Source organism: Homo sapiens, chromosome 2, assembly GCF_000001405.40.
Source record: "Homo sapiens chromosome 2, GRCh38.p14 Primary Assembly".
Lineage (NCBI taxonomy): Eukaryota > Metazoa > Chordata > Mammalia > Primates > Hominidae > Homo > Homo sapiens.
Window position 1 is genome coordinate 96,554,479 of NC_000002.12, and position 15,893 is coordinate 96,570,371.

Genomic DNA, 15,893 nt, shown 5'->3' on the forward strand with positions numbered 1-15,893 from the left:
ACAAAGATGGGCAGGCGGCCCGTCAGCAGGACTTGAGGGCAGGCAGCTCAGCGCTGCGATCACGGCGCCCTCTGGAGGCCGATCTGAAGAATGCACTTCCCGTGGGACGTCTGTCCTGGGCAGGTGGGCGCCCTGGGCAGGACGCAGGGGACCCTGCTTTGGCACAGATGCTAGAGCCGGATGTAGTCATGCTTCCAGGGCACCCTCTGGGCCCAGTGCCCCACAGCCCGGTACTAGCTGTACCCGATTCTCGGAGGGTAGCGTCCTGGCTCACAACCCGCCTGAATGGTGGGGTCCCGTCAGTGCCTCTGATTCCTCAGTGAGCAGAGACTGAGGACAAGTACCAGGGCTGGAGACCTGAGGTTGAGGGGAGGAGGGGACGAGAATGAGTGATCTCAGACGGGAGCACCGCCATGCCCTGGGGCCTCTGGGAAGCACTAGGTTCCACCTGAGGTTGGTGGCACGGGTTTTGGGTTTCGGCGGGACCAGGCCACAAGCTGTGTGACGATTCGGAGTAGGGGAGAGTCAGGTTCCACCGAGGAGGCACTGGGCCGGGACAGTCTGGCACAGCAGAGCGGGACAGGGAGCTGAGGCGAGTGCAGGGAGCCAGGCCAGTGGAAGGCCTGGAGTCCAGGCTGGGTGCGGGGAGCCAAGGACGGTTGGCGGGACTGATGCAGCGCAGTGGGGCTCCGAGAACCGCAGGACTCAAGGAGGTGGCCTGGGGATAAGAGGCATGGCTGACGTTCCCTGTACCTGGGTGCACTCGTGGGAGTGAGTGGAGGAGAGCAGGCCAAGGAACGAAGGGGCTGGGGCGTGGGAATCCTTGGAGTCACCGCCTTTGTGCCAAGGTCAGGCAAGAAGTGGGGAGGAGGGGCTCGGGGTCCACAGCAAGGCCACGATGCAGGGGCAGCAACATGGGCTGGCAGCAACCCCCACCTCGGGACAGCGTGGAGAAGCGACCTGCACTGGAGGGAGCTGAGGGAGTGGTCTCAGGGTGGGCACAGCCATGGGCTGGCAGGGGAGGAAGCAGAGGGGCAACTGGGAGCCCAGGCAGGGAAGTGAGAGACCTCCACCACTCAGCAAAGGTTTACCCTCAAAACCAGAGGGTGGGCCAGGTGCGATGGCTCATGCCTGTAATCCTAGAACTTTGGGAGGCCAAAACAGGCAGATCACCTGAGGTCAGGAATTCGACACCAGCCTGGCTAACATGGCAAAACCCCATCTCAACTAAAAATACAAAAATCAGCCGGGCGTGATGGCATGCACCTGTAGTTCCTGCTACCAGGGAGGCTGAGGCAGGAGAATCACTTGAACCCAGGAGGCGGAGGTTGCAGTGAGCTGAGATTGTGCCATTGCACTCCAGCCTGGGCTACAAGAGTGAAACTCTGTCTCAAAAAAACAAACAACAGAGGCTGCTGACAGTGGCCTGAGATGTGTTTAATTTTTTTTTTTAAGAGATGGGGTCTTGCAGTGTCACCCAGGCTGGAGTGGTGCTGTGGCTATTCACAGGCAAGACCATCATGCATTGCAGCACCCAAACTCCTGGACTCAAGCAGTCCTCCCACCTCAGCCTCCCAAGCAGCTGGGACTACAGGTGCATGTCACGGCAGCCAGCTAAATGTTTTTAAATAGTTGCCAGAATTTAAAAATCAGATTTCACATAAAAATGTGGGTATCAGGCTTCTCTTTAAAAACCAGAATTTTTGGCCAGGCGCTATGTCTCACGCCTGTAATCCCAGCACTTTGGGAGGCCGAGGCAGGCAGATCACCTGAGGTCAGGAGTTCAAGACCAGCCTGGCCAACATGGTGAAACCCCGTCTCTACTAAAAATACAAAAATTAGCCGGGCGTGGTGGCAGGCGCCTGTAATCCCAGCTACTCCGGAGGCTGAGGCAGGAGAATCACTTGAACCTGGGAGGCAGAGGTTGCAGTGAGCCAAGATCGTGCCATGCACTCCAGCCTGGGCGACAGAGTGAGACTGTCAAAAAAAAAAAAGGAAGAAAGAAAAGAAAGAAATCAGCACGTGCTACACATCAGGGCTCCCCCCGCCCCCAGCCAGGGGTCAATCACCTAACAGCACGCACTGCCGACTCAGCTCCAACTGCCTTCTCTCCCTGGGGTCCCGCTTCAGGATGCATTGTGAGGGGAGAATCTTATCTGAGGCCTCTGCTTACCCGGTAACCTCTGAGGCTGTTACCTCAGAGGAGGTGTGTCTTCCGTAGACCAAGACAGTAGCTGCTGTGCTGGGTGACGCCAGGTGCATACCCTTCTCTTGGCCTCCATTCCCTCACCTGTGATATGGAAATGAGTCACTCCTACCTCAAGAGTGGTGGGCATTTAGTGAAAGTGCTCTGTAAACTAAAGTTCTGATGAATGTGGATCATCACCTCCTTCCCCACCAGCAGTTCTGCTCTACCAGCCTGACCGCCCCGTGCCCTGCCCTTTACCTCACTGCTTTTTAACATTCCCGCTCTCCCGCCTGGCTTCTGACTCACAGTCACACTGAACTTTGGATCCTGTCAGCATCTGAGTCAAGTATGGCAAGTCACTTCCCCCCAGGTATCAACTTTGACTGATGGTGGCTGTCTGCAGCTTGGGGCTGACTCAGTGTGACAGTGATGCAATTGATTAGTAATGTCTGCCAAGGCCACAGGCAGCGGTGCGGAGGCTCACCAGCCACTTAGTTGCCATCTCTGTCTACATGCATGATGATCTAATCGTGCCTGATGATGGTCTGTCTGATGTAGGTCCTGACCTCACTGCCACATCTTAGCCACAGCTCCTGTGCAGAGCTGCCTAGTTTCTCTCCCACATGAGCAAGGGTTGTGGAGGAGCAGGTCTTGGATTGGGCAGTCAAATCCTTGGCCTTGAGCTACAGAGTTTGATCCCTGGGTAGTCGTCAGGGAGGCTGCCTCTTGGGAGAAACCCAGGTAGGCTGTCCAAAAACCAGAAAGGTCTTTCCACAGCAGCTGGAGAGGGATGATCTAGGATCCACACCAATAGGATAGAGTATAAGTGGAACAATTCTGGTGTCATTTGTAGAGTAACTGCAGTGCTTTTGAGCTGGGGCCTGTGGCCTTGAGTATGGGGATAATCAGTAGATGATAAATTTTTTAAATCATTTCAAGGCCGGGCACGGTGGCCCACGCCTGTAATCCCAGCACTTTGGGAGGCCGAGGTGAGCAGATTGCCTGAGGTCAGGAGTTTGAGACCAGCCTGGCCAATATGGCAAAACCCCGTCTCCATTAAAAATACAAAATTTAGTTGGGCATGGTGGTAGGTGCTATCAGCTACTTGGGAAGCTGAGGCAGGAGAATCGCTTGAACTTGGGAGGCAGAAGTTGCAGTGAGCCAAGATCACGCCACTACACTCCAGCCCGGGTGACAGGGCGAGACTCTGTCTCAGGAAAAAAAAAAAAAAAAATCATTTCAAAGTCCAGCTCTGATCAGCTCACCCCTCTGCATAAACCTGGTCCATGACCTTCCACTGACCTCAAGTTAAAACCCAAATGCCTCAGTCTGGAAGGCTCTTCATGGGCTCTGCTTCCTTCCCCAGGCTCCTGGCTCACCTCCACCCCACCCTCCACCACCCACAGCACCCAAACCCCTGCAGTTTCTGTCTTGGCTGATCCCTGAGGCCCCACTCCAGCTCCCTGGCCTGCCTGGCTGTCCCTCAACTATAGAAGGACATGCCACTCCTTTCACCCGAAAAACATGTCACTGCTCCCACTTTTCCTTCCAGCCTCTCAGAAGTTTCTTCCTCCAGGAAGCCTTCCTGGCTTAGGTACCCATCCCGTGTGCCCCTACAGCATCCAGTGCTTCTCCACCCGCCACTGTGGACCCATGACTTCCTGCATCCCTGCCTTCCCAGACTGTCAACTCCCTGAGGGCAATTCACGATTCCCGTTCACCACCAACCCCAAGTTATACCTAGCCCCATACGACAGGGGTCCCTTCCTTTCTTTTCTTTTCACCTAAATTATTTTGGTACATGTGCCCACTAGCAACATTCAGAAACATCCCTGGTATTCCTCCGCGTCCCAGTGGTTCCCAGAGGGCTCCTGCATGCTCAGGAGGCAGCCCCAGGTTCTTTCCCACTGCATTTGCCCAGATCGCTCTGGCCCTGGGGAGGAGCGGCTCTTCCCACCAATAACCTCCGCCACATTCCCATCTGGCTTTGGAGAAGGGAGAGAACCCGCCCTTGATTCTTCCTTCAGAAATACAGCCACACCCCGTCCCTTCCCCTCCCCACCCTGCACACACCCATGAGACCGAGCAGGGACATTTAATAAGGTTTTACTAAAGTTTCTGGAAAGCAGCAGAAGGGACTCAAAACAAGGACACAACCCACAACTGCTTCTTGAAGCTGCCTCAACCCCAGCTATGCAGCACATGCCACACCCAGTTCCTGACGTGGGTCCGCATCAGAGTCTAGACCTCCAGACACCACCTGCAGCTCCAGGAGGCTCCACACGTTGGAACTCACTACTCAGAGAAAGGAGGAAGGCTCGTTTTCCTCCACCCTCATTGGGGGCTTTTCTCTAAATCCTCATTTCTAGGATCGACCTCCTAGCTGTTGGTCGACAGTGCCTGACCAATGGTGAAAATGCTTGAATATCTCCTCTGCTGAGAAGCAGCCATCCAAATCAAAATGGTGGGTTTGGGTTGACTTCTGCCACTCCCCCACACTGACCCCCGCAATATGTTGAAGTCCTAACCCCCAGCACTTCAGAATGTGGCCTTATTTGGGAATAGGGTTGTTGCAGGTGTAATTTGTTAAGATGAGGTCACAGTGAAGTAGCGTGGACCCTCATTCACTATGACCGGCATCCTTGTAAGGAGATAGCCGTGTGAAGACATGAACACAGGGAGAGTGCCACGTGAAGACAGGACTGGAGCGACGCGGCTGCAAGGAATGCCCGAGATTGCCAGCAAACCAGCCGCAGCCAGGAAGAGGCAAGGAAGGATTCCCCTCCAGGAGCATGGCTCTGTCAACACTGTGGCCTCCAGAACTGGGAAAGTAGAAATATCTGTTGTTTTATTGATTTACTTTTGAGACTGGGTCTCGCTCTGTTGCCCAGGCTGGAGTGCAGTGGTGTGATCTTGGCTCACTGCGGCCTCAACCTCACAGGCTCAGGTGATCCTCCCACCTCAGCCTCCTGAGTAGCTGGGACCACAGGCATGTGCCACTACACCTAATTTTGCATTTTTTTTGTAGAGATGGGCTCTCACTATGTTGCCCAGGCTGGCCTCAAACTCCTGAGCTCAAGCAATCCACCCACCTTGGCCTCCCCAAGTGCTGGGATTCCAAGCATGAGCTATGCACCTACCTCTGTTGTTTTAAACCACCTGGTTTGAGGTACTTTGTCATGGCAGCCCTGGGAAACAAGTGCAGTGATATTCAAGGGATGACATACCTGTCTGCAGGATGAACACGAATCACAATCAATACCACTTTCCAGGAGGCAACGAGAATGCACATAGGCAGGACAATAATATTTATTCCGTACTGACTTTGCTCCAGGCTTGGTGCTAGGCAGGTCCCAGGAGTTATTTCTTCTCACAGCCCCCTTAGGAGAAAGTTCTGTTCTCATCCCGGGTTCCACAGGATGAGGCTAAGGGAGATTGAGTTGCCCGAGGTCACTGGCAAGAAAAGGGACAAGATCTGAACCCCAAGAGCCCAGTGCTTCACAATGCTAAGATGCAGGGACTGTGGCTCAAGGACGATGGGCTAGTAGGAGAAGCCAGAGAGGGACTTCAGATGGTCTGCCATGGCTGGATTCTTAGCTTTCCTCCAGTTTAAGTGTGTTGGCAGGATCTGCCCTTTTCAGCCCGTCTTCAGTTTCTCTATTCTGCTTCTCTGAGGAGGAGCTGAGGAGTAAACTGCTAATGCGTGCAAGCGTGTGTGTGCTGTGCGTTTGCATGTGTAGCTGTAACATCGAATAAAAGATTGTCCATTTTGGCCAGGCGCCGTAGCTCATGCCTGTAATCCCAGCACTTTGGGAGGCCAAGGCGGGCGGATCACCTGAGGTCAGGAGTTCGAGATCAGCCTGGCCAACATGGTAAAACCCCATCTCTACTAAATATACAAAAATCAGCCGGACGTGGTGGTGCATGCCTGTAATCCCAGCTACTCAGGAGGTTGAGGCAGGAGAACTGCTTGAACCCAGGAGGTGGAGGTTGCAGTGAGCTGAGATCGCGCCACTGCACTCCAGCCTGGGTGATGCAGTGAGACTTAGTCTCAAAAAAAAAAAAAAAGATTGTCCATTTCCCCCATCTCCCTTCTTACCACATCCCCACAGTTCCCAAACCAGAAAACTTGGGGACATAGTTTGACAGGAATTCTCTAATTTAGGAATTGAGATATGTGAAAAGAAAAAGAAAACAACATTTTCTTTCTTTTTAAATTACAAATATATAGTGAGATGGAATTTAAAAAAAAACAGTGCTACACATTGCTGTTGAGAGTATAATTTACCACAGGCCTCTTGCATATTTCAAGAGCTGTAAAAATATTCATCCCATTTGACGGCAGTCCCGCTTCTGGGAATTTATTGTAGAAAATGATTGGAGATGCTCAGCAATGGAAGAAGGGGTGCAGAGGTGACAACCAAGTCTCGGGTAAGAAGACTGCATTTGTGGTGTTGAAATTATGAACAGGAGGACTATGTAGCAAAATGGAAAACATATATATATTATATATACACACACACACACATACACATTCATAATATATATCATGTGTTATTTCTATTACTTTTAAAGTGAGCATTCAGCAGTAGTCGTTGAATGCAAGCAGCAAGAACCATCTGGGTAATTTAAGCCAGAAAAAGGGGATGTGTAGGGAGTACACAGTGTCTCACAGTCTTGAAGGACTGGACAAAGATCAGGCCTTGGAAAGCACAGGCCAGATCAGTGCATGGAGATGGAGGGGCAGAGATGGGGCAAGTCTCCTTGGGGAGGTGGGGTCAGAACGAATTGGTGCCCACCATCTCTGCCCTGTGTCCCTAGGCTCAAGGAGTGTGACTAGACGCTTGGTCAGGAGCATCGCTGGGGACAGTGTGGCAGACCCTGCTAACTGTCCATCTCACATCCATTTCCCACTTTGTCCTTGCTAACAGAATCCCAGCTTGGTTCAGAGCACGACCCCAGGTAACAGGACATGAGTGGTGGAGGCCTCACACGGTTTGGCCAATCATTAACAATTCTGTCCCCCACATCCCCCACCACCTTGGCAGCTAGGAGCCACATGGCCCAGCTCCAGCCAGTGAGATGTTATGGACCAAACTGTGTTCCTCACAGTCAGATGCTGAAGCCCTAACCCCTAATATGGCTGCATGTGGACTTAGGGCCTTTAACAAGGCAATTAAGGTTAAATGAGGTCATAAATAAGGTTAAATGGGGCCAAATCTGATAGGACTGGTGTCCTTATAAGAAGAGAAGACACCAGAACTCACTCTCTTGCACATGAGCAGAGAGGACGAAGCAAGAAGGCATCTGTCTGCAAGCCTAGAAGACAAGCTTCCTCCAAAACCAACCCTGCCAGCATCTTGAACTTACACTTCCGACTTCTAAAACTATGAGAAAATAAGTGACTGCTGTTTCAGCCACCCAGTCTACGGTGTTCTGTTTGGCAGCCCGAGCTGACTAATGCAAGATCTAAGGGATATCTGCTGGGAGGGACTTCCACATTCCGGGGAGCTTTATCCCATGGAGAATCACTCCCCAACGGGTGCACGGGTGCATCCTCATCAAGGAGCCTCCAACACTCACCCCACTGAATTTCAAAGCTGCCAGGGACCAGTGGCTCTTAGGTGCCTCCCGCGTTCCCCTTTTTGAATAGGAATGTCCACTGCAGTTATCCTATGCCGGTCCCACCACTGTGGTTGAACATGTCAGGGATAGATAAAAATTCCTTTTAGTTCACAAGTCTTTGGATATAGAACTACTATACTTGAGAAATTATGCCCAAGAAGCCTCATCCACATCTGGTGACATCTTCAGGTAAATGATGACATCCTGGATTTTAAGCCAATGCTGGAAAGGGTAAGGCTTCTGGGGAATCTTTAAACAGGGTGAGTATATTCTGTATATGGGACTGTAGGCAGAATAACAGCCTCCTAAAGATGTCCACATCCTAATCCCCAGGACCTATGACTATATTAGGGGGCATGGCAAAGGGGAATTCCGGTTGCAGATGAAATTATGGTTGCTGGATATGAATAGACTATCCTGGATTGTCAAGAAAATACTGGGTGGGCCCAATGTCACATGAGCGTCCTTAAGAGTGGAAGAACAAGGTGGGAGAAAGAGACTCAAAAGGCAGCAGAGGAAGGACTTGGCCCAGCATTGCTGGCTTTGAAGACAGAAGAAGGAGCCACAAGCCAAGGAATGTGGGTGCCTCTTAGAAGCTGTAAGTCAAGCAGACAGATTCTCCCCTAGACCCTCCAGCAGGAACACAGTCCTACTGACACCTGATTCTAGCGCTGTGAGACCCATACTGGACTTCGGACCTCCAGAACTGCAATATAATAAATTCGTGTTGTTTTAGGTCACTAGGCTTGTGGTAATTTATTAGAGCAGAAATAGAAGACTAATACAGTGAGGGGTGTAAATAATCTGTGGCCAGCAGGCAGACTGTGGTAGCGGAAAATATGCCCACAAAATCTTGTACTCCTTTCAGAAAGTGGAGCCTAATTCCCTTCCTCTTGAGTGTGGGCTGGAATTAGTGACTCATCTAACTAATGAACTGATAAAATAAGGCAGAAGTGATGGTGTGTGACTTCTGATACCAGATCACAAAAGGAGCAGCTTAATGGAAGTCTGGGACAGCTCCCCATGCCATCGTGGGCTCAGAAATGGACGTACTAACTTAGGGACACCCATGTCAAACAAAGACCACACCAACAGCTTATGAAAACCAATGAGTGATTTGGAAATGATCAGAGGGATCTGATGAATGGTTTGTTTTACAACTTACATCACTTGGCAAGCAGTTTTATAAGAAATAGTTGTCCCTCAGTATACATGGGGAATTGGTTCCAGGACTCTCCCCCCATACCAAAATCCGTGCATGGCCAAGTCCAGAAGTTTGCCCTGCAGATCCCTCCTATATAAAAATTCTGCCCTCTGACGAGGCGAGTTTTTGCATCTTGAGAATACTGCATCTTCCACCTGTATTTGTTTGCAGATAGGGAATCAGTAAATACCAAGAGCCGACTACATCTTTTGAAAAAAATCAAAATATAAGCGGACCCAAGCGCTTCAAACCCATGTTGTTCAAGGGTCAACTGTGTTTATATTATTTAGAGAATAAAAAATATATATTTTATATTTAGATTATTGTAGTTATTACATATTTGACCATCACTCCTATGTAAATATTTCTTCCTTTCCAAACCCCTTGTTTCATCCCCTTCCTTTCCTTTTAAGCACTGGTCTCTGTGCACAGAATGCCAGGGATAGACTAACACAAACTGTCGTGAGAAACAGAAAGAAAAGCTGGCTGCTTCTCAGCACTTGTCAGTGGGACAACACAGGGCCATCCTTTGCCCTTTTTGGGAAGAAGGGAGGTCCTGAGAGTAGCCTTCTATGCAAATTGAGAACTTTGAGAAGTGGGTTGGTGGAATGATGTCCCTGTCCCTCTGAAGCAGGGTCCAGTCTCAGTGCCACAGTGCCCACCATGGAAACATGGCCCCAGGCCCATGACACTAGGACATGTCTCCTGCCTGGTTCCCTGGAGGGCGAGGCTGGGCCGTGACCGCCAGCTGTAGCATTCAAGTCTGGAAGCCTGGACCAACAATAGGTTTTGTGCCTGGTTTTGTGTGAATTTGCATCAACCTTGTTGCAGACTCCTTGACGCCTTCCCCTTCAAACACAGATGCCTGAGCCTTGGCCAGCTGATCAAATGCTTCTTTTGATCACTGACATCTTTGTGGCTGCAGTAGCCAGCCCATGGCCATCTCCAGAGTGGTCCAGTACTACCCGACCCCTGCCAGGGAGGGGCACCATCTAACTGGACTAATGGCGCTCAGTCAGGGTCATCGCTGTGCTCCGGGGAGACCCTGCATATCCCAGAGGATCCTAAATGTTTTCTGGAGTTGGAGAGAATTCCGAGAATCCTCCTCATAAATCCTTCTTTGGATATAAGCTAGCCAGATGTCGTTTCTGCCATTTGCCACTCCAACACCATCAGCCAGATATCCAGGTGTCCCAGATGGTGAACATTCAAGAGCCCCAGCCATGGGTCCAGGCAGCAGAGGCACGTCTATGGAGATAGGCTGGGCCTTGTCCCCTGCCAAGTCAGTGATGAGTGGGAGGACTCACTGGCCCTTGCACTGAGCAAGGCCACCTGACAGGCCAGCCTAATCACCCCCCTGTGGCCAATATAAGGATATTGATCTTTAGTGGCCAGAATCTCTCCTCCATCACTTTTTATGTATTTTGTTGTTGGTGGTGGTGGTGGGGTGTGTGTGTGTGTGTGTGTGATTTTCTGCCGAGTCCTTCATCTTGGATCCTCCACCACTTTTGCCAAGGAACACCTTCCAGCTCACAGGTAAGGGAAGAACTCTTTCCAGACAATAAGTCAGGAACCTCTGACTTGTGATGAGGAGAGGAGGGCTTGCCACATAGTGTAGAATTTAAGTCACTCCAGAATTTTCAGGACGATGGCTTTGGATCCAGCTACACTCAAGAACTAGGACCAAGAAGCAGATCTGATTGGTATTCCCTAGGGAAAACCTAGCCGTCATTTGCATGCAAACAATGCCTGGCATGTACGAGGCAGCCCTTTCAGGCTTCTCTGCCCCGTTGTTGGGCCCTGTCAAACCTGTGCTTGTATAGAAAGCAATGGGATGCTAAATCAGATAGAGTGGGATTAGAATTTGCATGAGAGAAAGGGAAAGGGAGGGGCAGGAACGAGGGAGAGAGCTGAAATCTGTCCTCCCTAGGAGAGTGGCTTCCATTGACAGGCAGGGAGAATGAGGGAAGGTCATCAGAAACACCAGATGCAAGTCTGTCACTGATGGCTACCCAATATCCTTGAGGGCATCTGGACCGCCCCCATTTTGGTCCTTTCCTATATTTTGAGTACCATCTTCCCAAGGGACAAGCTATAAAAACCTGCATTCCCAAACTCCCTTGCTGCCATTGAGCAGGCATGTGACTGAGATACCAACCAATCAGACATGCACACAGACTGGCAAAGGAGACACTGGAGGAAGTAGCCAAATGGATTTAATGGCCCAGAGGTCATGTCCTGATGGGTGAATGACAGCACAGCATCTAGTTTTCTATTCTTCTCTGCTTGTCTATTTGAACTCAAATTAATTCAGAATTTGTACCCTCTGGGAAAAGAAAAACTCACTGATATGAAATGTTTGAAAACTGTGAGTTTTCTTTGTTTATGCTTTTATTTATTTATTTATTTATTTATTTATTTATTGAGATGGAGTCTCACTATGTCGCCAAGCAGGAGTGCAGTGATGCAATCTTGGCTCAATGCGACTTCCACCTCCCAGGTTCAAGCAGTTTTCCTGCCTCAGCCTCCCAAGTAGCTGGGACTACAGGTGTGCACCACCATGCCCAGCTAATTTTTTAATATTTTCAGTAGAGACAGGGTTTCACCATGTTGGCCAGGATGGTCTCTATCTCTTGACCTTGTGATCTGCCCGCCTCGGCCTCCCAAAGTGCTGGGATTACAGGTGTGAGCCACCGCGCCCGGCCAAAGATGTGTTTTATCAGAATACTTTCCTATGCTTTATGTTGACTTTACCATGTCCTTAAGTAAGAAGAGAAAGTCTTACCACTTTTATAAAGAGCTAAGGTTCTTTACAATCATGTTACCTCCCATGTTTACTTTTAAAATATTTTCATTGTCACTTTAGCTAAATGGGGTAGCTAAGTATTGTTTCTCAGTAATCTATGACCCTAACTTAAGTATTCAAACCTCCTGACAGCTTTTGATATTCTACCTTTCCCAAATCAAATCCTAAATGGTATCTTTCACACCTACAACTGTCTTTGAGATTTCCCAGAGGGTCCCTGGAAAATCACTTAGGATTTGTTCTTTCACCTTGTAAAAGGAGAGGTACTAGAAGTAATTCAGCTTATCAGATATGTTATTAATAAATTGCATGGGAAGCTTTTGAGGTAGGAGGCAGGATTAGACTCTGGGGGTGGAGACTTGGACAAGAACGAGATTGAAGACTAGCTAAAACAGGGCCAGCGCAGAAGCAGCTTTCCATAAGACTGGCACACCCAAAGGTTACTGCCCCTTTCTGTGGCAACCACCCAACGACCCAGAAGTTACCACTCTTTTCTAGAAATGTCTGCATAACCCACCCCTTAATTTGCATATAATTAAAAGTGGGTATAAATACGACTGTAGAACTGCCTCTAAGCTGCTACTCTGTGCACACTGCCTATGGGGTAGCCCTGCTTTCTAAGGTGCAGCACTTCTGCTGCCGCTGTGCACTGCCGCCTCTATAAAAGTTGCTGTCTCACCCCACCGGCTCACCCTTGAATTCTTTCCTAGACAAAGCCAACAACCCTCCTGGGCTAAGCCCCAATTTGGTGGGGGTGGGAGGGGGCTCGCTTGCCCTGGATCACTTTGTCAAATCAGAAGAGATGCTTTTTTTTTTTTTTTTTAAGACAGAGTCTCGCTCTGTGGCCCAGGCTAGAGTGCAGTGGTGCGATCTCACCTCACTGCAACCTATGCCTCCCAGGTTCAAGCAATTCTCCTGCCTCAACCTCCCGAGTAGCTGGGACTACAGGCATGCAGCACCATGCCTGGCTAATATTTGTATTTTTTGTAGAGACAGGATTTCACCATATTGGCCAGACTGGTCTTGAACACCTGACCTTGTAATCCACCCACCTCGGCTTCCCAAAGTGCTGGGATTACAGGTGTGAGCCACTGCACCTGGCCTTTTTTTTTTTTTTTTTTTTTGAGTCGGAGTCTCACTCTGTCGCCCAGGCTGGAGTGCAGTGGTGCGATCTCGTCTCACTGCAAGCTCCACTTCCTGGGTTCAAGCGATTGTCCTGCCTCAGCCTCCTGAGTAGCTGGAATTACAGGCATGCGCCACCATGCTTGGCTAATTTTTGTATTTTTAGTAGAGATGGGGTTTCACCATGTTGATCAGGCTGGTCTCAAACTTCTGACCTTGGCCTCCCAAAATGCTAGGATTACAGGCGTGAGCCACCGCGTGCTGGCCTGGGCTATTATTAATATAAAATTTTCAGAAATTGTATGCTTTATGGGAAATTTCTAGACAATCATCAATGTCTTTGCTGTCCATGATATGTTTATGATTCCTGGTGCTCCTTTGCCTAATATTAGACAAAAACAGTATAGTGCTATCAGTTATAATTTGTTAGTTTTTAAAATGTTAACTTGGTTGCAGCTTTAATTCTCTAATGTGAATCTACTATCTTCTGGGCCAGGGTTTTTAATTGAGGATTCACATCACTTAACTATGGAGTTTTATTAATATACAGGTGTCTAGGACCTAATCCAGATTTGCTGAATCTCTTTCCTCAAGTCAAATAAAAACAAACCCAGACTACGTAAGGAGACTTTATTGGAGCAGTTATTGCAAGGGGGTGTGGTAAGGAACTATTGCCGGGGGAGGTTGCTCTGACCATAAGATCTGCAAGTATCTGAGAGGGTGGGCAAAGTGCTTTTATTTTGTAGAGAGGAGTAAATAAGGCTAGAAAGATCCAGGTATGGGAAAGTGGAATGGGAGGGTGGCATTACAGGATAGCAGACCCAAGAATGTCTTATCCCAAAGCCAGTCTATTTTCCTCCCACTCCGCCCCCGCTTTTTTTTTTTTTTTTTTTTTTGTGTGTGAGTCTCACTCTGTCAGCAAGGCTGGAGTGCAGTGGCATGAATATGGCTCACTGCAGCCTCAACCTCCTGGGCTCAAGTGATTCTCCTACCTCAGCCTCCTGACTAGTTGGGTCTACAGGCATGCACTACTACATCTGGCTAATTTTTAAATTTTTTGTAGAGATGGAGTCTCACTTTGTTGCCCAGGCTGGTCTTGAATTCCTGGGCTCAAGAAATCCTCCAGGCTCGGCTTCCCAAACTAAGGGGATCACAGGTGTGAGCCACTGCACCTAGCCCAGTCTGTTTCCAGAAGTAGCAGGACTGCCTGCTGGCTCAGGTTGAGGGTGGGCCAATACTTAGGAGCCTTGGGGGAAGCAGAGAATATGAACCAAAGATTTTGATTTTGTTCCCATTTTGTCCAGTGGGGACAAAAGAGTTCAGCTAATCATTTATGAGGCAAAGAATGGGAATTTGGAGAGTCTGTCTGACTTGGTCAAGGGTAAACAAGGAGCATTTGGGAGTCTTATCCAAGTCATATAGGGAAGGGTGGTCTTCACAGTGAGCTGTTTCCTGGAGGGCAGAGTGCGGGGATTTCTCAGCCTTTGCCGTTTTCCAGAAACACAGGGCTCTCACAAAACTTAACACTGTCATTTGTTATATACTTGGTATATTCATGATATATTATGTCCATGTTTGTTATGTTTTATATCTTAAGATTTTTTTCCCTGAAAAGGTTCACTAATTTTTATAAATTAGATATAACATCTACTTTTCTTTGAAAATAGGGTCAATCATTATATTCATAGATATTTTGCCTAAAAATATTTTGACTGACTTCATCTTGTTTTGCATGCCCCAAAAACTGCAAATATTCTTGAGTTGCATTATCTTTGTAATGAACTCTCATCATGCCTTTCACTTTTGATAATTATAAGCAGTATGTTAACCATAGTCATTTTAAGTCTTCTGTTATCTACCAATAGTGTTCTGTTTTACTCTGATGCTTCTCTGAAAGGACTTGAAATCACTTCAATAAAGAAGGACTGTCTCAGAGCTCCGTGGAAAAGGACTATGCCAGGTACCTTTGGGTATAGACTTCTGATGGCACTACTTAAGCAACTTTGAGACCACATAATTGAACTGAGTCAGGATTTCTAAAACTCTAGTTGAGAAACAGATGGATTCATGAGACTACTAACCTAAGATTGAGCAGAACAGGAATTAATGACATAGGACTGAATGAACTGATGGGGGATGGTTGTGGGTTTTGCTTGGACTATTGTTGTTTTAATGTTCTATTTTCTGAATACATAAAGAGCTCCTTTATCTTAAGCTATCTATAACTCATAACAATTTAGTAGACTATGTTCTTTAAAATGAACATTTGTGTATTGGTCCATTCTTACACTGCTATAAAGAACTATCTGAGACTGGGTAATTTATGAAGAAAAGAGGTTTAATTGACTCATAGTTTGGCAGACTGTACAGGACGCATGGCTAGGAGGCCTCAGGAAACTTACAATCATGGTGGAAGGCCAAGAGGAAGCAAGCATGTCTTACCATGGCGGCAGGAGAGAGAGAGAGTGATGGGGGAAGTGCCACACATTCTCAAACAAACACACCTTGTGAGAACTCACTCACTATCATGAGAACAGCAAGGGGGAAATCTGCCCTCATGATCCAATCATATCCCATCAGGCCCCTCTGCTGACATGTGGGAATTACAATTTGACATGAAATTTAGGTGGGGACACAGAGCCAAACCATATCAATTTGCAAATGGTGTATTTTTCTTACTGCCTGATCCTTCCAGAATTTGGAGTATTCTTAATTTCATTGCAATATAATTATTTGCACAGGTTCAATAAGAATCTGTCCTCCTTGTTTACGGGACAGAATTAGAAACATTGGTTATGCAACAAAGGCCTTTAAATCTTTTGTCATCTACAGATAGTTTTTTTCTTTTACTCTGGTGCCTCCCCGAATGTCATGTTTGAGAATGATGCTCATTTAATCAGCTATGACCAGATACTTTAAAGAACTAAGGTTGACTTTTTGGAGCCAAT

General features: G+C 48.3%; 2 annotated features.

Moving 5' to 3' along the window:
- Window positions 9,830-10,330: an enhancer, noted in NCBI's record as "H3K27ac hESC enhancer chr2:97230045-97230545 (GRCh37/hg19 assembly coordinates)". NCBI's record gives its function as "activates a minimal SCP1, AML or CMV promoter by ChIP-STARR-seq in primed H9 embryonic stem cells {active_cell/tissue: H9 hESC(primed)}" and the evidence as "EXISTENCE:reporter gene assay evidence [ECO:0000049][PMID:30033119]".
- Window positions 10,401-10,901: an enhancer, noted in NCBI's record as "NANOG-H3K4me1 hESC enhancer chr2:97230616-97231116 (GRCh37/hg19 assembly coordinates)". NCBI's record gives its function as "activates a minimal SCP1, AML or CMV promoter by ChIP-STARR-seq in naive H9 embryonic stem cells {active_cell/tissue: H9 hESC(naive)}" and the evidence as "EXISTENCE:reporter gene assay evidence [ECO:0000049][PMID:30033119]".